Source organism: Homo sapiens, chromosome 17, assembly GCF_000001405.40.
Source record: "Homo sapiens chromosome 17, GRCh38.p14 Primary Assembly".
Taxonomy (NCBI): Eukaryota; Metazoa; Chordata; class Mammalia; order Primates; family Hominidae; genus Homo; species Homo sapiens.
Genome location: NC_000017.11, coordinates 56,624,079 through 56,647,350, shown reverse-complemented (window position 1 = coordinate 56,647,350; position 23,272 = coordinate 56,624,079). Strand labels below are relative to the sequence as shown.

The following is a 23,272-nucleotide window of genomic DNA, read 5'->3' as shown; positions in this document are numbered from 1 at the left end:
GAGAATGTAATAATTTGTATTATATTATATTATATTATATTATATTATATCATATTTTCTAACACAAGTGCAGGCTAAAAACATGACCATTCTTTCATTTATTAATTAAAAAAAGTCATACCATCACAAAGCTGGAGACAGGAATGCATAAAATCATCTATGATTTAAGACTGAGCCTGGTAACTCCTTTAATAGATATTAATGAAGGTCTATGAGACACAGAGGGGTAAGATTCTGTGTCTTACGGGTTTGGGACAGTCAGAGGCTAGTCGTGGAAAGCATCTTCAAGGTAGTAATATTTGGACTGGGCTGTGGTAGAGATGTAAGGTTTAGAAATATCTTAATTCCCGTCCTGTAGTAGACGTTGGCTGAATCTAATGATCTCAATAGAAAAGCAACAGAACTACCTTAGAAGCCATTTAGAAAATAGAATAAAGAAGAAATATTACTCACATTTTCATACCACCAACTTTAGTTTGGTTGGCATTTGGCCGCTTTTCTTGTCAGCTTTTTCTCTGCTATTGCTTCTTCATAACTATTGTTTGTCACATCATGTGCTATCATATTAAGCAGACATTCTTGTGTTTTTTTTTAAGTGAATCATTAATTGGAAGCATTTTTCTTTTCTTACTGAGTCTCGCTCTGTCACCCAGGCTGGAGTGCAGTGGCACAATCTCTGCTCACTGCAACCTCAACCTCTGAGGTTCAAGTGATTCTCCTGCCTCAGCCTCCTGAGTAGCTGGGACTACATGCCAGCATCAAGCCCGACTAATTTTTGTATTTTTAGTAGAGATGGGGTTTCACCATGTTGGCCACGCTGGTCTCGAACTCCTGTCCTCAAGTGATCCACCCACCTCGGCCTCCCAAAGGGGTTACAGGCATGAGCCATCGCTCCTGGCCAGAAGCATTTCCATGTTGTCACAAGAACGTGCATATTTAAACGAGGAAGAGATGGGGAATCAGGATTCCTAGGGAAGGAGAAAGTGAAGGCAAAGTTCTCATTGTAGAAAGTGGCTGATTGGCAGGCAGTCCACTGTGGCTGTACCTTGGATTTTATGGAGGGTTGGGAATAGCCTGCTACGGAGCTGCAATTTTTTCATGTAGGTGATGGAGAGCCATAGGGGCTCTGAGCGAGATGGTGACATAATTAGAATTTCATCCTCTCTAGGGATGGCTTTGGAAGTTCTGAGATTCCATGGGGAACTTTGGGAATTCCAGAGTTTCTTGTGGAAATAAGTAAGCAATCCATTAATCAATAAATAGGACAAAAATCATTAACTAGCATCTGGATGCAAATGCCAATGTATTTTGTAAGTACTTCTTAGTGTCAGCTCCAATAGCACAGGACTGTTCATTGAAGACTTCATTTTAGGAGCATCAAACCTGTCATTTGATTTCAGTGATCTATCAGAGCCTAACCTCTGCCTCCCCTTGCCAAATCTGATCTCCTAGTTCATGGATGGCAAACAAGCTTTAACATACCTAACACTTTTAGTGGTAGGCTGCAAATGTCCTATGAACTGTGTTAAGAAGGACTCTGAGGGCATGTCCGGACTTAGCAGGCCACTGGTGTGGGAGTAAGAAGCCTCAGCCTGTATGCCATACACTGCTTTTTCCATCGTTATGCTCCCTCAGATGTTCAGTTTAGACGTCTTATATTTAAAATTCATATGGCCTAAATCTGTATAGTAGAGCCAAACCAAATGGAGTCCACAAAAGAAGCAGATAGAAGAAAACTCATACTAGTCAAGATCTCCATAAAGTACTTGATCCATCCATCTATTTATCCACCCATTATCCATCGATCCATCTATCCATTCACCCATTTATCTTTATTCTACATCTACAATGGGCCAGTCAATGTACCAAGCTCTGGGGATACAGAAATGATTCTTGTCTCCAGAATTCAGAATCTAGTAGGGGAGCCACTGAAGAGATGGTTAAGTATAAAATGGTGTTACAAGCTAGGCCAGAGGTTTGAACATAGTGCTATAGCACAGAGGCAGTACCTACAGAAGCAGACTACAGCAGGGGAGGGGATGAGGGCAGAGGTGGGGCTGTGGTTTACTTATTGAACTGAGAGCTCCATGTATTTTCTTCACATTGCATCCCCAGCACATAGCCTAGTGCCTGGCACATAGTAGGTGTTCAGCATATTTTTTTTGAATGAATGAGGTGTCCAAGGAGGGTACAAGACTCCCACAGGTCATCTAGTCCATCCACCTGCCTCTGGGCTGAGCCACACCTAAATCATCCCAAGTACTATTTTGGGTGCAGTTATTCTTAGCTGGCCTCTCTGACAGCTGGAAAGAATCAGAGAATCAACCTCTTCTCTGAGGCTTTAGTGCTACAGCCCACATTCAGGAGAAGCTCTGTTTGGTGGAAACAAGAGCTGGGAAGAGAAAGAGAGGCAAGTGGGTCCCAAGCCTGAAGCTTGGCTGGATGTAACTCAGAGGTGGGCCAGTCTCCTTTTCGTGGGCAATCAGAAGGTGAAGCTGAGACACTCTGATTCAGGAGAGGCTTGGAAGTTTGCAGTTGGGGTTCCTGAGGGACTGGGTTGTTGCTGGGTGCCTGGCTTGGCCCTGTCAAATGGGAGGAGGAATTTTCAAGGGCCGGAGTCCCCCCATGTGCAGCTTACATTAGGGCAGAGGTCTGCAATGTGCAGAGGACCTAGGAAGGGCTACTTCCAGATCCCCCTTCTTCCAGGTCAACTCAATCCCTATATTCCCTCCCCCCAACCCCACCAATATCATTGGTGAAATAGGAGTTTGAGGCTGCAGCTCCTTAAGGAGATCTTTTTTTTTTTCCAGGACCTGTTTTTTCCAGGGTATTTCGCAGTGGCTGGAGAGTGTCGGGGCCTAACACAGTCAGGCTGTACCAGGAGCCAGAGCCCAGGGTATTATAATCTCATGGGAAGATAGGAAGAAATGATTAGTGGGTGTTGAATGGCCCTGCTGTGAGCATTCTGAGCTGGACCGGTCCTGGGGCAAAATCAAGGGCAAGTTCTAATCTCATTTTCAGGTAGGGGAAGGGTAGAGAAGTGACTTTCTGGGGCAGTCTCTTGAAAAGCAGGCATAAACAGGGAACAATGGTACCATTCCTTTCTGACCTACTCAACCTGGTGCTTGATACGAAAGGGGTGTGTGCTTGTGTGTGTGTGTGCGTGTATGTGTGTGTGTCAGAGAGAGAGAGAAAAAGAGAGAGAGAGAGACTAAGTATAAACTTGTGAACCCTCTTAGGAGGCTAATGCTTGCTCCCAAATCCCCCCGGGATAGGGATGGATTTGCCCCTTGTTTTCTTATAAAAACCTATGTTTTCTAAATGCAATACAAAAAGTGGCTCAGAGGAGCCACCCCTGAGCTTCAGACCCCTTGATGACTGCACTGTCCCTATCCTTGCTTCTCTTGGCCCCACCCCCTGCCACCAAAGCTTCTTAACTAAAAATAAAAGTTACAGAACAAGATCAGAAAGACTTCTTCTGACCTGGGACAGTGGGAGATAAAGCAGTGACAGCTGGCTGAGCCCCAGCACCTAGGAGGATGGAAGTGAAGAGATAGCTGGCATTGGATTTGGCAGACATGATTGAACAGTGGCCTCCTACCTAGAATTGTGCTATGACCTGTAGACACCACAGAGAAGAATGTGATATCCTCTCTGCCTACAAGGAACTTCTACAACCCTGCTCACCTCATGCTTTTCTGCAGAAGGTCTTTAAAGACAAAGCCAGAGGCACCTGCTTTATTTAGGATGACAGTGAATATTAAGTGCTTCCTTTACTAGGAGCCTGACAATGTGTACACAGTAAAACCCTCCACGGTTGGCATTTCTGAGGTTCTAAGATATCCCTCACCAAACCTGCCCTCATCTGACCTACTCATAGGGGAGGCTTAAACATATTGGACTCATCCTCATTTCCTTACTCTTTAAATGGCATTGAACATATTCTGGCTTTGATACTTTCTCTGTGGCTGTGCAAAAATCACGCACCCTCTTTAAGTTCGATTTCCTCCTTGATATTAGGTTGGACCATATGAAATTGCTATATTCTGAGGTTAAAAACGACCAAATATCAGTAATTTCATATGGTCCAACTGAACAAAATGAAGGGGCTGTTTTGCTGTCTAAAATCCCTTCTGTGTCTGATGTTTGAGACTCTTGGCATAATACTCGATTCTTCCCTACTCTGCTTTCGACAAGGTGAGTTCACCACTGCTAGTCACTTACCTATCGATGCCCCTGGCTAAGGTGTACTCACTGTCATAACAGCTTTCAGGCAAGTCCCACTCCTGGATTAGGGGCTTATTCTGTTTTCTGGATCTAAAACAGCCTTATCACACTCCTATGCTGAAGAACTTATTTTTCAATGCCAGCTCCATGTTACCTGCCTTTAGGTGCTCTGGCTCTCTCAGCCAGAAATAATTTCCCCCTTTTTCATGCCCCAAGGCCCTTCTCATATTTTTAGTAACATTTTTTTCTTACTTTAAATGAAAACACAATCATTGTAGAATATTTGGAGATAGAAAAAACATAAAGAAGGAATAGGGATCATGTGTAATCCCCCATCACCCAGTGTCTACGTTTGATACATTTCCTCCCAGGCTCCCTTTTATGCCAAATTAAATGTATGTATGTTTGTTCTTCTAAACTGCCATAGGCCTTTAGAGTAGATTGCATTTCAGGTTCTAATTCCTCATTCCTTCCTGTAGCTATATTCTTTGTCACGTGACTTTGCAGTTCCTCCCACCAAAGAGGTGGGAATATATTTCCCTTCCCCTTAACTTTGGGTTTGGCCATGTGACTTGCCTTGTTTGTTTACTCTGCCAATGAATAACAACTTTACCATAATTTTTAGGTGAATTATAATGATCTATTCTTACTAGCTGACTCACAGATTGAAAATATTTAGAGGAGACGGAGTGGATCATCTCTCTTTTCTCTTAGAGTTATTGGCAAAGAGCAAATGTTCAGTAGGTATCAGATTAGTTGTTAGTATTAGATATCTATGCTGGTGTGGTTATTTACGCTGGTATAATAAATTACCCCCCTCCTTTAAATTCAGTGGTTAAAGGAACAAACACTTATTATTTCACAGTTTCTGTGGGGCAGGATTCTGGGTGTGGCTTAGCAGAGTCCTCTGGCCCAGGGTCTTGGGTGCTGGGGCTATCATCATCTCAAGCCTCAGGGGGAAGAATCTGCTTCCAATCTCACTCGGGAGGTTGTTGGCAGGGTTCAGTTCCTTTCAGGCTGTTGGACTGAGAGTCTCAGTTCCTCACTGTCTGGTGGCTGAGGCTGCCCTGCTTCATAAACATGGCAGCTGGCCTGCAATGAGAGCGAGCAAGCAAGAAGGCAAAGGAGGTGAACAAAGCAGAAGCCAGAATCTTTTGGTAACCTAATCTTGGAAGAGACATCCACACTCTATTCACTAGAAGAAAGTCACTAGATCCAACTCATGCTCAAGGGGAGGGAATTTTAAAAGGTCATAAATTTCAGGAGGCAAGACCTTTGGGAGACTTCTTAGAAGCTGCATACCATGCTCACAAAGATAGAGTCAGAGTTTGTATGACTTTGTGGAGCCCAGGCATTGGACTATGAAGAGTTGACACATGCAAAACAGTGAATATCACAACACAATGAATTAGACCACTTGTTCTCTGGGGGAATAAATCAGCTATGGTATCTGTTCTCATGAAGCTTACAATCAATAAAAGCAAAATTATGTACACACATGGAGTCTGTGTGTGTACATAATTTTGCATTTATGTGCATTTGGGGTATGGAGATCAGAATCAGGATCAGAGTAGCAGAAAGCTGAGCTGACAGACCACTGGGACACTGCCCTTACTTATATGATTTGGTTTTGTGTTAGAAAGACTTCATGCCCTGCCTTACCCAGCCTGGTCCATTCATCTCTGAGGGACAAGAGGTGTTAGTTGGAATATTCCAGAAAAGAAATGTGATGTATCAAGGAGTGTAAATGAATGTTATTAGAAAAGATACTGACTGTGCCTGTGTCCTTGAGGGTGGAGCAGATATTGGGGCTCAGATGTTCAGGGTTAAGTTTAAGTAGAAAATGCTGTGGAATGCCCCCAGGTAAATGCTCAGCCTCTTTAGCATGCTAGTACAGTGGAGAGAGTTTTGGGTCAACTTATACAGATCAAGATTTGGAACCTGGCTGGGCCCCTTCCTAGCTAGAAAAGAGGTGACCTTGCACAAGATGTTTTGCCTCTCAGAGTCATGGGTTCCCCATCTGAATTACAGGATAATCATAATACTTAACTCACAGAGCTAATGAGGGATAGTTTTCTTGTTTAAACCACTACTTTGTTCAAAGGGAATTCAAGGCAGTGTTTGAAGCATAAAAAGACATAAATGAACAAAAAAAAGGGCCTAGCATTTCATCCATCCCCTGACCCATCTATCGACCCATCCATCCATTAACCCATTGATGTACACGACTGTTCATCATCCTTTCATCCGTTCACCTACTGACTCTCCATCAATTCATCCATCCATCCATCCATCCATCCATCTACTCATCCATCCACATGTCCATCCATCTACATGTACACCTATGCATCCACCAGCTATCAGTCCATCTGTTCCCCCATCCATAATATTTATTGAGCACCTATAGTATATCAGGCATTGCACGGGCTGCCTTGGTTGCCTTAGACTCCGGGGGAATAAGTCAGCTATGGTCTCTGTCCTCATGAAGCTTACAATCAATTAAAAGCAAAATGAATGTTTTTCCTTTCTTCTGTCCCCCCTTTCCTTCCTCCCATCTGCCCTCCATCCTGTTTCCTCCCCCTCTCTCCTTTCCTTTTTCACCTCTGGTTTTGGGAAAGAATTGATCCCACACCAAGGTTGGGGGAAAAGCCAAAGTTGTGGGAGGCCTAGCTTCGCATAGAGAGAGATTTGCTGTGGTGGAGAGTGCAGTGGCCAGTAGCCGGAGTAAGACCTCGTGATGAAAATTAAGTCCTTGTTTGAACCACTGCGAGAAGCCAGCAGGGGTCCCTAAGATCTAGCTCCAGGCCTCTCTATGTATTGCCTCTCTGGGATTGGCCTGACCCATGGGTGGGGCAGGTAAATGCCTTATCTCTTCTGTCCCCAGCACCCCTCCTCATCTACTCTTTGATGCCTAAAGGGCCAACAAGTGAAGTGTATTTCTTGAGCTTAAAGCTTTGATCTCTGTGAAAATGAAAATCCCTGTGGGAGGGTCACAGTTTAAACTGGTACTGATTATTCACACTTGGTTGTGAATGAATATCACTTTTTGTTCCCCAATGGAATTAAATCAACAGGTATTTACAAGCCTGCTTGAGATCAGATTAGGTAGGCAATGGCATATTTGGAGAGAGCCCTAGATGGGGACACAGGTATGTTGGGGATGGTCCCTGCCAGACCACCTATGAGCTCCTAAGCCTTGTGCAGTCCCTCTGGGCTTCTGGGACTGGATGATCTGCAAGGTGGCTCCTAGGCTCTGAAGTGGATATGGAGGGAGTCACCGAGGGCCTGCTTCACGGGCATCCTCCTGAGCAGCTACACAGGGCTCTGTGCTTGGTTAATGTTCTCCTGTCACCATCCTGAATAGAATAGTTTTTGAACATGAGGCCCCACATTTTCATTTGGCATTATGCCAGGAAATGATGTAGCCAGTCTTGGTGGCAGCGGTGGTGGTGGTGACTCGGGAAAGGGGTCTCAAAGACAAATACTGCTCACTTTAGCCGCTTGCCCTCAGTGGCTGCTGCTCCCCATCCTCCACAGTCCAGCCTAGGACTCACCTCCTTGGGAAAGCCATTTCCAGATAAACTCACCTGCCGGGAATGCTCAATTCCTCCCTGGCAAGTAGATAGATAACAGGCTTGGCTTGGTGAATCTTTTGCTTGTTTGTGATGCTCAGGGGAAATATTGGGTGGTTTTAAGTGCGTGCCCCCATTTCCCTGCTAGCGGCTCTTGGGGTGCTCCCCACCTTCTCTGGATGCCCTGCTGCACGGTAGAAAAAAATTCTTTGGAATCACATAGTCCTGGGTTTGAGTTCAGACTTCACTTTTTACAAGCTGTGTGATGAAGGGAAGATGGCACCCCCTTGGAAGCTGCCACCTGCCCTCCTGGATTACTGTGAGGATGGAGAGATGTGTATGTATAGCACTCAGCACATAGTAGGCGCTAAATAAATAAAGGGGTCTTAAACTCTCAGAGTCTCACTTACTTGCCTATAAAGTGGAGAAATCACTCCTACCTCTAGGCCGAAGGCTCAAGGCCATTTAAAATCATTATCAACTAAAAATACCCAGATCCTAGTGCAGTCTCCCCCTGCCCCCACCCCACCCTCTGGCAGGCAGAGAGCTGCGCCCAGCGGGAGTCCCGACAGCAGAGCGCTGCATCTCTAGGGTGATCGTGCCTTGCGAGTTTCTAGAGGCTGTTGAGCCCTTTGAGGTTTGAGTTACATTTTCACTTGGCAGAGTCTAGTTCTCTGATTCAAAGAGAAAAGCTGTCAGAGAGAGGGATAGGAAGAGAAGGGGGGTGTGTGTAAAAAAATAAAAAAGGCTCCCACAGCTTCTCGGACTTGGAATGGCTCTGTGGAGACCAGGCGGGATGCATGCAAATCAGAAACACATGCATGAGGCTTTCCTCCCAGCACATGCGGGCTCCGGAATGAAGGCGCCAAGCCCTTGACATGCTGGCTCAAGACTGGCCAGGCTTGGGCTGGATTGGGATGTGGAGTTGGAGCCTGCACCTGTGTCCTCTTGTCCTGTCCTGGTGAAAGGGGAGAAGATGGGAGCAGTGGCTGGTTCTATGCTCGACTCTTGGACTCTGAAAGGTCCTGAGGCCTTGAGACCTCCTAGATCAAGAGGCCAGGGAAAGCTTTGGGGGTAATATCTGGCAGCACAGGGCAGTGGAAAGAGCATGGGCTTTTAAGTCAGAAAAACATGAGTTAGCATCTTGGCCATGTCCCTTATTAGCTGTGTGACTTTGGGTAAGTTACTTAAGCTCTCTGTGCCAGAATCTTCTCAGCCAAAACTTGAGGACAATGATCACTGTCCCAACAGGCTTTGTGAGAATAAAACCAAAGTTTGCATTTTGTTTATTTATTTAATGGAAGATTGATTTGATCCCTTATACTTCTTTTCTTTCCAGACAGGAGACAAGACAGCTCTTTTAAAAAATGTAGTGTATTAAAGAAACCATGGCAAAAAGAAAAGAAGGGCTGAACAGAAATATGAAGCGAAGGCAGGGTTAGTACACAGGCATGCACAACTTGGAATCTTGCACAATTATTAAAGTTGTTTAGTAAATTTGTTTCTGAGCTTTTAGTTGGCCAGAATAAAGCAGAAGACATCATTGAGAAGATTCATGTTGTCTATTAAAAAAATGGCTTTGGCTGGGTGCAGTGGCTCATGCCTGTAATCCCAGCACTTTGGGAGGCTGAGGTGGGTGGATCATCTGAGGTCAGGAGCTCAAGACCAGCCTGGCCAACATGGTGAAACCCCATCTCTACTAAATATACAAAAATTAGCTGGGCATGGTGGTGCACGCCTGCAGTTTCAGCTACTTGGGAGGCTGAGGCAAGGAGAATCGCTTGCATCTGGGAGGTGGAGGTTGCAGTGAGCCGAGATCATGCCACTATGCTCTAGCCTGGGTGAAAGAGAGATACTCTGTCTCAAAAAATATAAAATAAAATAATAAAATAAAATAAAATAAAATAAAATAAAATAAAATAAAGTAAATGGTTTCTCTGGAGAGCAACTTTCCTTGACATTGAAGTCGCTCGCAGTCTTTTTTCCCAGGGGTCCTCTCTTCCGGGTCATAGACTGGGAATAAGTGGAGAGCAGTTCCTTGTTGCGCTGGACTGTGCTTCTTATACTGACTCCCAGTGGAAGGCATTGGGAGGATTGCAATGCATGTGCCTGTCTTGGGACCCGGTACATAGCGGGTGCTCTCTCTAATGGGCTGCTTATGGTGTTGGGGCGATTGTCTCCTTGCAGGAGAAGGGCTGGAATCTAATACAGCTTTTATCCCACAGCTTTCCTCTGTGGCTTGATTTCACCTTCTGCCAAGCCAACCCGCTCCTCTCTCTCTGCTTTTCTGAAGCTTCTATCAGGGGTGCCTCTTGGTGGCTCTGAGATGGAGATGATGCAGACAGATTGGGCTGTTCTCAGGAAGCCCAAATCCTCCTCCTGGAACTCTGCATAGTTGGCTCAGTGACATTTCATCTCTCTGGGTTCTGTCCCAGGGAGAAAACATGTGGGCATTCTCTAATAACTTGAGCATAGCTCCCTCCTGCCTTCCTTTGTTTTTCCTTCCTGGGCAAATGAAAGGCAGAATGAATGAAAGTTTCTATTCTGATGGGAAAACTCACTCTGGCCTTGTAATGAGCTAGAATAATTGATTTGTCGATGAAAACCAAGTCTGTGGAATTGATGCTTAGTGTCAAAACAGTCCAGATCACTTTGGTACCAATTCAGCGTCGCTGGAGGGAAGCTGTTAGCCAGGAGCCCAGTGAGAAAGGAGTAGGCTGAGTTGAAACATGAAAAGATTTGATTGTACTAAAGCTCCCCAGCACAGAATTGCCCTGTTGGGATCTGATTTCAGCGCTCCAGATCGAAGGTCCCGGCTAATATTTTCTTTCTTTCCTTTCTCATGAGGGTAGAAATAACTTGGCAATTGCCCCATTGCAGCTACTGTTTGAACGTGGATATTAATTTAATCTGGAGTTCTGTTACTCTTTAAATATTTAGGGGTTTGGCTGAAGCCTTTATGCTTTTACAATGCAATAGACAGTAAAAATGGAATTGGAATGTTTCTACTCATTTCAGAAAGGACAGGGATTCTTGGCCCCGTTTCCCACACACCCTACCCCGCCCCATTTTCATTCCTTCATCTTCTGACTGCAGCTCCTGATGAGAATGAAAAGTTATTTCAACATACAAGGACAGAGGCCATGGGGTGGAGGAGAAAGAGAATATACTTTAGAATCAGACAGATCCACAAGGGAATGTTCAAATCCTGGCTCTTTCACCATGAGCTGTGCAAATTTGGGTGAGTGTTTAAGAACTCTGTCCCCTCTTCTATGGACACCTACTCCATAGAACTGATACAAATATTCAATGAGATATAATGTATATTTAAAGCAACCACCAGAATACTGTTATTATTTTATGAAAATGCCATTGACTTAAAACCATATATCCCCAAAGTGTTCCTGCAAAATTCTGAAAGGGTATATTTCTTATAGGATGAAGCTAGTTACTTCTTGGGTGACCTGGTGTTCTTTTAGTTTCCTGAGTTTGTTGAAGGAGTTGGGCTCTGTGCTGTTGTTATCTAGAGAAAGGCACAGAAAAGAAGGGTGCTAGATAGAGCCCTTCTATGCTTCAAGTGCCACCATCTAATTCTCTTGTTTCCCCCTTCCAACAACTGTGGAGTATATTTTTATTTGAAAGATGAGGAAACAAACTCATATATCTGGAGTCACTTGTCCCAGTCACACAGTGACTCAGAGATCACAGTGTGATTGCCTCCACAGTTCAAGTTCTTTTGGCTTGACTAAGATGCTGCTCACAGTTTCTGATGGTGATGGGAGATAAGGGGGGTCTTCCCCGTCTCCACTAGAGACCTGCACCTGGGACTCTCATTGTTTTGTTGTTGGCTTATTTTCCAGATATCTATCTATTGATCTATCTATGTATCTATCTATCTATCTATCTATCTATCTATCTATCTATCTATCTATCATCTGTCTATCAAGATAGGTTCTTGTTCTGTGGCCCAGGCTAGAGTGCAGTGGCCCCATCAAGGCTCACTGCAGCCTCAACTTTCTGGGCTCAAGAGATCCTTCTACTGGCTGGGCGCGGTGGCTCACACCTGTAATTCCAGTACTTTGGGAGGCCAAGGCGGGTGGGTCACCTGAGATCAAGAGTTCGAGACCAGCCTGGCCAACATGGTGAAACCTCGTCTCTCCCAAGAAATACAAAAGTTAGCCAGGCGTGGTGGCAGATGACCCCTATAATCCCAGCTACTCGGGAGGCTGAGGCAAGAGAATCGCTTGAATCCAAGAGGCAGAGGTTGCAGTGAGCCGAGATCATGCCATTGCACTCCAGCCTGGGCAACAGAGCAAAAACTCCGTCTTAAAAAAAAAAAAAAAGAAAAGAAAAAAGAAAAGAAAAGGGAGAGAGATCCTCCTACCTCAGCTTCCTGAGTAGTTGGGGCCATAGGGCCATCACACTCAGTTTTTTTTTTTGTTTGTTTGTTTGTTTGTTTGTTTTTTTTTTTTTTAGAGACAAGGGCTTGCTATGTTGCCCAGGCTGGTGTTGAACTCCTGGCCTCAAGCGATCCTCCCACCTTGGCCTCGCACTGTACTGGGAATACAGGCTTGAACCACCTTGCCCATCCCCAGATATTTATTAAGTGTCTATTCTGTGCCACATGTTGTGGGAAGTAAAAAGGAGCAAGACATAGTCCCTGGCCTCAAGGAACTAACAGTTTATTTAGAGAGACAGAGAGACACATAAGTAATTTTTTAAAAAGAGAAAGGAGGAAGAAAAGTTTTGGAAGGAGTGTTGGGTGCTTCACTGCGTCCCGTGTTTGTACTGGCACTGCTGAGCATGTGGATAGGAGTGTGCACAGAGTAGGTCTGCAATAAATGTCCTCTAAGTGAATACAGTCTTTCTCCCCCATCATCAGCCCCCAAATGCCAGAAATCCCATATCTGGTTTCCTTAGACTTAAGACCTGGAGTCTTCAGTGCACAGTCAGCTTGAGACTGACAACCCAGGAACCTTGCTGCATAATGAAAGAAAGCCATAGCTATGCAAACCAGACGAAGTGGATTCAGCCCAGGTAATAATAAGAACAACAAGGGCTGGTAGCTATTGAGACTGACTCAGAGCCAAGTTGTGTCTGCACGTTCATTTACTCTTCATGACTTCTGATGTGGAGGATACTTGCTATGGATGGAATCTTTATGTCTCCTCCAAAAATTCATGTAGAAAATGAATCCCCAATGTTATGGTATGAGAAGATGGGGCCTTGGGCAGGTGATTAGGCCGTGATATTGGAGCCCTCGTGAATGGTATTAGTGCCCTTGTAAAAGAGACCCCAGAGAGTTCCCTTGTCCCTTCCACCATGTGTAGACACAGCAAGAAGGTGGTTGTGTAGAAACCAGGAAGTGGGCCCAAATTAGATCCTGGATCTGTAAATGTCTACTGTGTTTAAGCCACCCAGTTGATGGTATTCTCTTATAACAGTCTGCACAATCCAAGATAGTAATCCCAAAGCCCAAGCTACAGATGGGGAAACAGACATGATGAGGTTGCCAGGCTACATCTCCGGGTATACAGAGAGGGTGGGGAAGAAGCCCCTTAGGCCAGGCCCAGGGAGAAACTGATGACATTTGGACACCTGGACATGAGGTGCCTGGGTTGGAGGGTGCCCTGAACAGCTTCAGGAAGGGAGGGTCGGAGCAGGCAGCTGTCCAGCATTCCTGAACTGGGCTGAGTACACACCTTCTCCATCAGCCACACCCAAGTCATCTCCACCTTCTGGCATACATGGAACAAGGGTCTCGGAGTCTGTGGCTCTTGAGACAAAACTGGCTTCGAGGAGTCCTCACTGGCTGAACCTGCTTTCTTGGGCCCAAGGAGCCTCCTGAGAATTTCTGGCAAGTTAATGGCCTCAGAGTGGGTACGGCTATTTATTTTGCTGAGAAGAGATGTCTTCATCTTCACTTTCTCTATTTCCTCTTCTGGCAATTCTTTCACTCACCCACCCCTCTCTTTTTCTTTTGACTCCTCCTCTTACTTTTCTACCCCCTTTTTCTTCTCTTCCTCCCTCACACACTTCCTCTTCTGCATTCTCTTTTCCTTTTTCCTCCTTCTCATTTCCAAACAGTTGTCTTTTATACACTCACATTTGTAGGCATACGTATAAGATGTAAGATTTTTGAAACAGATATTACATATGTGTATATGTATTATATACATATTTAAATATACAAATATATATTACAGATGTGTATATGTGTGCATACACACATATATGCATATATATGTACATATACATATAATCAGTGTAATTATACATCCAGACATGTTTTTCTGCTAAGAATATCGAAAATCCAGAAGCCAGTCTGACCAGAGCCCCATTAGGAGTCTCAAGGGGAGGCAGAAGAATGGTGGAGAAAGCAAGGACTTTTAGTGTTAGAGGCCACTTGGGCTAGAAGTTTCCGATACTAAGTTGCTACATGATGCTGGGAAAATGACCGTATCTCTGTTTTCTCTTCACATGGAAAACAAAAGCTACATACGACATAAAGTTGGAGTGATGCTCCAATTAGAGAATAGTATTACAAAAACTATGAATGTGTCATCCTTTTAATTATGTGTTGTTTCATTCTCTCCCTCATTTGAAACAACTGCAGAACAATTGTGTGTATGTGGGGAGGGGGCAGGGAGGAAAGAGGAAAGAAAAGGGAGGAAAGACTTATTTTCACAAAAAAGTAGAGTAGTTTTTACATAATTCCTATTGGATTACTTATCCCCACTGTCTAAAGAAAGATTTCTTAATTTTCTTTTCACTGATGTTCAATACCACATTTGTCTAACTTTTAGTAATTTGTATAATTGAAATGAAACCTATTTTTCTTTTTGCTAGGTATAACCTTATTTTGCAACACCCAGTATGCTTTTCTGTTTGTTTGTTTGTTTTTTGAGACAGAGTTTCACTCTTTCACCCAGGCTGGAGTGCAGTGGCGTGATTTGGCTCACTGCAATCTCCTCCTCCCTGGTTCAAGTGATTATTCTGCCTCAGCCCCCCGAGCAGCTGGGATTACCGACATGCACCAGTACGCCCAAGTAATTTTTGTATTTTGTAGATGGGGTTTCACCATGTTGGCCAGGCTGGTCTTGAACTCCTGACCTCAGGTGATCTGCCCGCCTCAGCCTCCCAAAGTGCTGGGATTATAGGCATGAGCCACTGTGCCCAGCCTACACCCAGTGTACTTTATCAAACTTTCCTTTCTGGAACTGTGGATCTGCCCCAGTCTTGGGGGAATAGAGTATTGATCTCGAATCGTTTTGTGAACTTGGCTTGGTTACTCACCTTTTCTGAGCCTCAGTTTCCCCTTCTGTGAGATGGGGGATGAGATGATTCCTCAGCACCTAGCAGGCCTGTTGTGAGGAATTGAAGTCCCTGCAGTTAATGATGCTTCATTGCAGAGGCGTTTCCTGCCACAATACTCAGGTCAGACCAGCAGAGGCAAGGCAGGGGTCCCTCAGTAACAACAGTTTCTCTTTGGGGACTGTCTCCTGGACATTCAATGTGATGTTTTTTCTCCCTCTCAGGAATCTGGCCAAACTCCAGGGCCACCTATCATGAGCAGCCTTGTTTGCTGGCAATTTGCAGAGTTGCAAGGGGTAAAGGACTGGCTTTGACTATTCAGTCTTTCAGGTGAGTGTGGGGAGCTGCCTTAGACCGGAGGTGTGGACTTTTCCTTCCCTTTTAGGAAGAAGGCATTCCCGTATGTGATTCAGTGGAAGCGTGTGTGCATGTGTGTGTGTGGTGATGGCAGTGGGGCAGGGGGGAGTGTAACAATTTTTTGAGTGACTGCTTAGTGCCTACACTGTCTTGCAAGGTGTCCTCTTATTTAATATCTCTTATTTAATCATGCTGCTTCTGGCCAGGCGCAAGCGGCTCACACCTGTAATCCCAGCACTTTGGGAGGCCAAGGCAGGCAGATCACATGAGGTCAGGAGTTTGAGACCAGCCTGGCCAACACGGTGAAACATCATCTCTACTAAAAATACAAAAATTACCCGGGTGTGGTGGTGGGCACCTGTAATCCCAGCTACTCGGGAGGCTGAGGCGATTCAAGGAGAATTGCTTGAACCCAAGAGGCAGAGGTTGCAGTGAGCCGAGATCATGCCACTGCACTCCAGCCTGGGCGACAGAGAGAGACTCCATCTAAAAAAAAAAAAAAAAAGATTGTCTCCTGGAGGCCTGATTATCCCCATTTTACAGAGGAGGCCCCAGAGGCTCAGAGATGGTATGTAATTGTTCCCAGTCATGTACCTAGGTCTGTAGCCTCAGAAGCCCAGGTGGGAATATAGGAGGGAGGGAGGAATGTTTCCAGAGGACAACAGGGCAAGGGCCTAAGCTATTTCCTCTCTGCTATTTCCTCTGCCCATTTTCTTGAGCAGAATGAATTTGAGGAGGGGATGACAATAGCAGCTGATCTCTGATTGTGCCCAACAAGTGTCTTGGAATTTTGGATCCTGCTATAGAGGAAGCCAGCAGTTCAGAATGGGCTCTGCTCTGCCCGAGCTGTGGACGGCCATCCTTCCTAAGAACCACAGGTTTTAATAGATGAGCCCCTGCTTGTCTTCTTTGATGTTCACAGGCCTTGAGTCCTTGTCAGCATAATGGCCCATAAAGCCAGAAAATGCAAGAGAAGGGAGCAAAAAAGAGTATAGACTTTATTATTATTATTTTTTTGAGACAGGGTCTCGCTCTTGCTGCCCAGGCTGGAGTTCAGTGGCGTGATCTCGGCTCACTGCAACCTCTGCCTCCTTGGTTCAAGCAATTCTCCTGCCTCAGCCTCCCCAGTAGCTGGGATTACAGGCGCCCACCACCACACCCAGCTATTTTTTGTATTTTTAGTACAGACAGGTTTTCACCGTGTTGGCCAGGCTGGTCTGGAACTCCTGACCTCAGGTGATCTGCCTGCCTCGGCCTCCCAAAGTGCTGGAATTACAGGTGTGAGCCACTGCACCCGGTCAAGAGTGTAGACTTTAGAGTCCAACCAATCCATGCTCAAGTCTTATTCTGCCACCTTCCAACTATATGGCTTCAGACCAACCCTGGCTCATCTTTAAGCCTCAGTTTTCTCCTCTGTAAAATGGAGATGAATCTCATTTACTGTAGGAGTGAACCAAGATGAGGAATGAGGAAGTGCCCTGCATGCAGCCTGGCACATGGTAGGGATCCAGGAGATGCTGGATTGTTTTCTTCCCGGTAGAGAAGATGTGTAGTCGGGAAACCCTTGGCAAAGGACAGTCTCAGTCTTCCCTGACCCCAGCTGCTCAGACCCAGGAGATGCTGGACTGTTTTATTCCTGGGAGAGAAATGTGCGGTCAGGAGACACCTTATCAAAGGACAGTCTCACCCTTCCCTGCCCCCAGCTGCTCAGAGTTAAAAGCAAGAGACATGCACCTCACAAGCACTAAACATCACATGGAGAGAAAAAAAACAAGTAAGAAAGGGAGAAGGCAAGACAGATGGATGAGTCCGGATCTGCAGAGCTTTGGTCATCACCAGAGTGATGCTCAGAGCTAGCTGCCCCCAGTGGCTGCTCTGCAACAGAACACACCCAGAGGCATAGAGGATGTTTCTTATCGCTCCAAGCTCTGCACTGGGCCTGAAGGGGGCTGGGATCCAGTTTTGATGAAGGGACACGAGGCCCTTGCCTTGCTGGCTGCAGAGGCAGGAAGAGCCCACCGGGGTGGGGCTCCCCATGAGGCTGTCTGGAATTGAGGAACACAGCCCACTGCGGATTCCAAGAGCCAAAGAAACGAAACTCTCCAAGCTTACAACTGTGGAGAAACACTTCTTCAGTCTGTTTTAAATCAAAATCCCCACGCTGACACTTGGACTCCATTCAACCATTAAAAAGTTCCACTAGCAAATAAACACTTAGCCAAATATTTGCTCCTATGTGTTTTCAATAGTAAATGCCAGCTATATTGCTCATCTCTGTATATCACCCTGGTGGCCCACCCCTGGTTGTCTGGAGCTAAGTGGCTTCTTTAAAGACAGGTGGAAACTCCTTCCAAACTTCCCACCATGGCAGCCAAGAGGGGTGGACTCAGACCCTGGTGGAAAAGAAAAAGTTCCCTCCCACCCTAAAGGGCAGACCAACTTAGGATCGTTCCGTGAGATTTGTACTTACATGTAGCACAGACCCCACAGCCCCCGGGCCCCAGAAACGTATTTCTGCTTTCCCCTCCTCTCGTGGGTCGTGCTCCTACCTTCCCCAGTGCTCAGTCACCAGCCCTATAATTGCCAGCACACCTCTGAGAGGTGGGTCAGGTTTTATAGCTGCTTCCCACCCCATCTTCTGGCCCCCGAGGACTTTAGGGGAAGGTTTAGAAACTGGGAAGGCAGAATGGAGATGAGAGTGAGAAGGCAAAGAAGGGCTTCAGCTTTCACAGGTACAAGGGTGTTTGGGACCTTAAGTTACACAAAACACAAACACACACACACACACACACACACACACACACACACACACACTACCATGCATCATGCCACACAGCAACCACAGAATTGGCTAGCGTTCCTTGGTTGTAAGCAGCAGATACTGATGGGTTAACTTAAATGAAAAAGAGAATTTATTGGAGACATTAAAGGGAGCTTATAAGAGAAGAGGTGACAAACTTAGGTTTGGAAAAGACAAGGCCAGACAGGAGCTTCAGAGGGTGTCAGCAGCAGGAACTCCTCAGCAGCCTCATCCAGGTGCTGCCACTGGAGAAAATGTTCTTAGTCCCGGACACTGCTCATGAATCAAGTTCTAGTAAGGGAATTTTCTGTTGACCTTGATCGGGTTCTATCCTTGATCGGGTTCCCTCCCTGTCGACCATTGAGGTCAGGATGCCTTGATAAATAGTCCTTCAGGGATTGGTTGCCTTTTTTCTCAACTGTTTTTGTATTCTGACATGCAAAGGATACTACGCTTATAAGACATGATGGAGTGAAAGGATAAGTTGTTCTTCCTTATCGTAAGGCTACTTCTGGTCATAAGTGACTGCTAAACACTGCCTCCCCAACCAGGACAGAGGGGATCAGTGTCTCACTCACCTGAACCTTTTATGGAAATCACTGGGAGATTCAACTGTTTCCAAGAAGGGGAGGTAATCACCAAAATATTATCAAGATGCCACCAAAGATGGCAAATGGAATGGTTCCTGAAGACTCACTCCCCTCCCTAACATGCACTAAAGCCTCCAGCATCATCAATAAAGCAATGGGAGGTTCTCTTCTGCCTCTACCTCTGCCTCCCACTCCTCCCCATCTCATTCCAGCCACAGTATATTGAATTTTCCCACCTAATTCGTTTCTCAGTACAGGGATAGCAAACACATACACTTTTTTTTTTGAGACAGAGTCTTACTCTGTCACCCAGGCTGGAGTGCAGTGGCACGATCTTGGCTCACTGCAGCCTCCACCTCCAGGGTTCAAGCGTTTCTTCTGCCTCAGCCTCCCAAGTAGCTGAGACTACAGGTGCACGCCACCATGCCTGGCTAATTTTTGTATTCATGGTAGAGATGGGGTTTTACCATGTTGGCTAGGCTATTCTTGAACTCCTGACCTCGTGATCTGCCCACTTCGGCCTCCCAGAGTGCTGGGATTACAAGCGTGAGCCACCGCGCCAGGCCTAACAAATGCATTTATATCTCTGCTCGCACATCACAATCTCTCCTTCAAAAGACTGTGGGCACTTGAGGGCCCAGGCTCCTTGGTATTTCACTGGCACCTAGACAAGTGCTCTGTACACAAGTCAGCCTTCAAAACAGACCCCAAGCTTAGACAAAATTTATACTCCAGATACATCAAATGCTTACATAGCTCCCAACATGCTCTGCTGTTTACAGGTCTCCTTGGAGGGCTTTCTTCAGTATTCACGATGTCTCTTGAAAGGGACTTTTGATGTACATTTATGGAATGAATGGAGAGAGTGGTAGAGTGGATTCCCCCCGAATAGTAATGAGACCAAAGCATCAGATCATACAAAGATGTTCATGATAGTCTTGTCTTTTTTTTTTTTTTTTTTTTTTTCTGGAATCTCTTAGGAAAACTTGATCCAGTCGGCTATATTCTTGGACTGGCAAAACTGTAATGTTGAGTGCTTCTACCAACTGATAATCTATGGGAAATCAAGACAGAGCTGCTCTGGGATGACTATGCACATTGAAGGAGGAGTGGAATTTCATTTACAAGACATTTTGATGAAGTCTCAGTAGGGAAGAAAACTAACTTCTGGAGAGAGCTTACCTGTGCTAGATAATTGTACTTGCATTATTTCACTGAATCTTTTTGGCAAAGCTTTGAGGTAGGCATTATAGCTCCCTTTGCACAGATAGAAATACCAAGGAGAGATGTAGACATATGCCTAAATTTATTTTTAAATAACTGGTGTGAGGCAGAGCTGGGAGTCAAACTCAGGTGTTCTCCCTCTGACCCAGAGCACTTTCTTTCTTTTCTTTTTCTTTCTTTTTTTTTTTTTTTTTTGAGACGGAGTCTCACACTATTGCACAGGCTAGAGTGCAGTGGCGCGATCTCGGCTCACTGCAACCTCTGCCTCCCAGGTTCAAGCAATTCTGCCTCAGCCTCCCATGTAGCTGGGATTACAGGTGCGTGCCACCATGCCTGGCTAATTTTTTTGGTGTGTGTATTTTTAGTAAAGACAGGGTTTCACCATGCTGGCCAGGCTGGTCTCAAACTCCTGACCTCAGGTGATCTTCCTGCCTCGGCCTCCCAAAGTGCTGGGATTACAGGCGTGAGCCACCGCATCTGGCCCAGAGCACTTTCTGCTCCACCTCTGCACCTCTTTGCCTGCTCTATCATTAATATCACTGGTTTTCTTTTGGGCTAGTTTTTAGTTCTGGCTTATGCTGAAACTAACGGACATGCCACCTGATGTGGACAGAGGTAGCTTAGAGGATGTGGTCATGTTTTGGGAATCCAGTATTGAGACTGAGATCCAGCATTAACTGTGGCTGAGATCTGTCTCGAACACATGCACACATGTACACCCATGTGCATTTAAGTAGAAACAATTGAGGGCTGATAAGCCAATCAAACGGTTGATCTCTTCCAGTCACTGGAAAGGCAGCAGAGAGGGCGTGGAGACAGACACATCTGGATGAGAAACTCCAGCTCCACCCACTTAACAGCTGTGTGATCTTGGATGTGCCATTTACTCTCTTGCCTCAGTTCGTTCATCTGTGAAATGGAGCAAACATCACATCCTTGGTGGTTGTGAAGATTAACCATGATCATGTGTATGTGGCATGTACTGTTACCTACCTGTTATCCCTTAAGTCACGGGTGAAGGTTTGAAAACAATTGTGAAAGAGGGTAGTGTCAGCTGATGTATACATGTCTCTGTTTATCTTTCATTTTTCTTACTGTTCAAGTGAAATGCCAGAAGGTTGAGCTTCAGTCTGGTGCCCAGGAGGACAAGGGGCACATGCTAGAAATAGAAGACAATGGTGCCTTGGTCCCTATTGGTAGATTGAATGATTTGTTCAAAACATATTCATGGTGCCTTTCTGTAGGACCCCGGCTCCTGCCACTTCACGGGAGAGGAGAGCACTCCCATGCCATTCAATCCGGCATGGCCGTGTGTCTTGCATTAGCCAGTGGGTTGTGAGCAGAAGTGACTATGCCCTGCTTGAGAAGAAGTTCAGTGCCATCCCATGATTTTACCTTTCCTTTGACATGAGGCCGCAAGTCCCAGAGAGGGGCTGCTCCTTCTGCTTGGACCTCAGAAAGAAGATAATAGGGGCAGAACTGCAGCTGACTTGTGAAGGGCATTTAATGGGAGCAAAGAGACCTTTGAGATTTGGGGTTATTCCTTATGGCAGCACAGCTGGGAAAGCTGACTAATTAATAGCATCGCTGATGGCATACTGGGGCTGCCACACTAGCTGTCACTGGTTTTACCTCCAGACTTCTTACTACATGAGAAAAAACAACTCCTACTTGGCTAAGCCACCATTTTTGGTGACTGTGGTCATGATATCCAGTATCATGAAAGTACCAGGCACATTCGCACTTAATAAATTAATGTTAGCTATTATTAGGGTAATATACAGACATGTATTTTAGAAAATACTCAACTTATGCAGTCTACATTTATGAGATAAATTGATGGTGGATTTTTAAAATGAAATTCGGCTTTGTTAATAACCTAATGAATTCACTTATTTTTATTTAAAAATTGAACATTACAAAACGCCGTAAAGTGAAGATTTCTACCTGCCATTCTTTCAACACTTCTCTCCATTGATAACCTGTGTTATCAAAACATTTTTCTGTGTAAGGGCCAGATTAAGGTGAGGCAAGTGAGGCACCTTGGGCACAAAATTTAAGGAGGCCCTCACTCTCTCGCCTGTGCAGGGCAGAGTTGATACTTCCATAAGCCTGAGAATGAGGGCCTCCTTAAATTTTGCTCCCTGGGTGTCCTTATTGCCTCACCCCAGTCCTGGCCTTGCTAAGCATTGCATACATTCACGCAGGTACTTACGTAGTTATTTTTCAAAACTAAAATCACTTTTAATGAACTGTGACTTGCTTTTTTGTTTTTTACACAATGAATCAGAACAATTTGTGTCAATTCCTACGAGTCTATCACAAACTTTTAATTGTTGTGTAGTATTCTGTACTATGAGTGAACCGTAGTTTAGCCATTTCCCTACTGATGAGCATTTAAATTTTAATCTTGCTCTTGCAGTGAATGCTACCAAAAACATAACCTAGCTCATATGTGCTTTCCAGTATTTCCAGGGGATACATTTCTAGAGGTGGCAATGCTGGGTAAAGGGATGTTTTAAAACTATGAAAGCTACAACCAAAGCACCTTTCAAAAGTTTCAAACCAATTGATGTTCCTACAAACAGTGCAGAAGGATATAATGGGAAACACTTTACATTAGAATTATCTGCATGATTTCTTTAAATAGCCAGCTTTCTTGGTACTTACGACTTCCCCAAATTAAAGTCACATGCAGTTTTCCAGCAGTCTGTTATTGCATAAATCCAGACAGGCTGCTGAAGTGTGTGTGCTGCCTTAAGAGCCAGCTTTTTCCCTGCTGTGTAGCTCAGCTGGGAAGTGGTTGCTCTGACTTCTCCTATAGGCCTGGAGCTGGTCTGTGTTGGAAATGGGGTGCTGGGCAATCTGTAAGGTTACACCCTGGGTCAATGTCTCACAACTGCTCTCCAATCTCTCCAAAGATGGGAGCAGGATCGTGAGTCCTGTGGGGCATCAACAGCTGTAGAAAAAAAACTTTCCAACACAGAGGAGTTTGTTGAATCTGAATCTCTACATTTTTGAGGAACATAACTTGATGTGGAATACTGCTAGGCCTTCTGGCAAGGAAGAAGTGCTGGACCTGGTGACCATTCGAGATAGTTGTATAGGATTCTGTATTATGAATGAACATAGTTTAGCCATTAGCCATAGCAACAGAGTGCTGGACCTGGTGACCACTTGAGGTTCTT

The 23,272-nt window shown here is 45.2% G+C and overlaps 2 annotated features.

The window, feature by feature from the left end:
- Positions 8,173-8,673: an enhancer, noted in NCBI's record as "H3K4me1 hESC enhancer chr17:54716039-54716539 (GRCh37/hg19 assembly coordinates)". NCBI's record gives its function as "activates a minimal SCP1, AML or CMV promoter by ChIP-STARR-seq in naive H9 embryonic stem cells {active_cell/tissue: H9 hESC(naive)}" and the evidence as "EXISTENCE:reporter gene assay evidence [ECO:0000049][PMID:30033119]".
- Positions 8,674-9,174: an enhancer, noted in NCBI's record as "H3K4me1 hESC enhancer chr17:54715538-54716038 (GRCh37/hg19 assembly coordinates)". NCBI's record gives its function as "activates a minimal SCP1, AML or CMV promoter by ChIP-STARR-seq in naive H9 embryonic stem cells {active_cell/tissue: H9 hESC(naive)}" and the evidence as "EXISTENCE:reporter gene assay evidence [ECO:0000049][PMID:30033119]".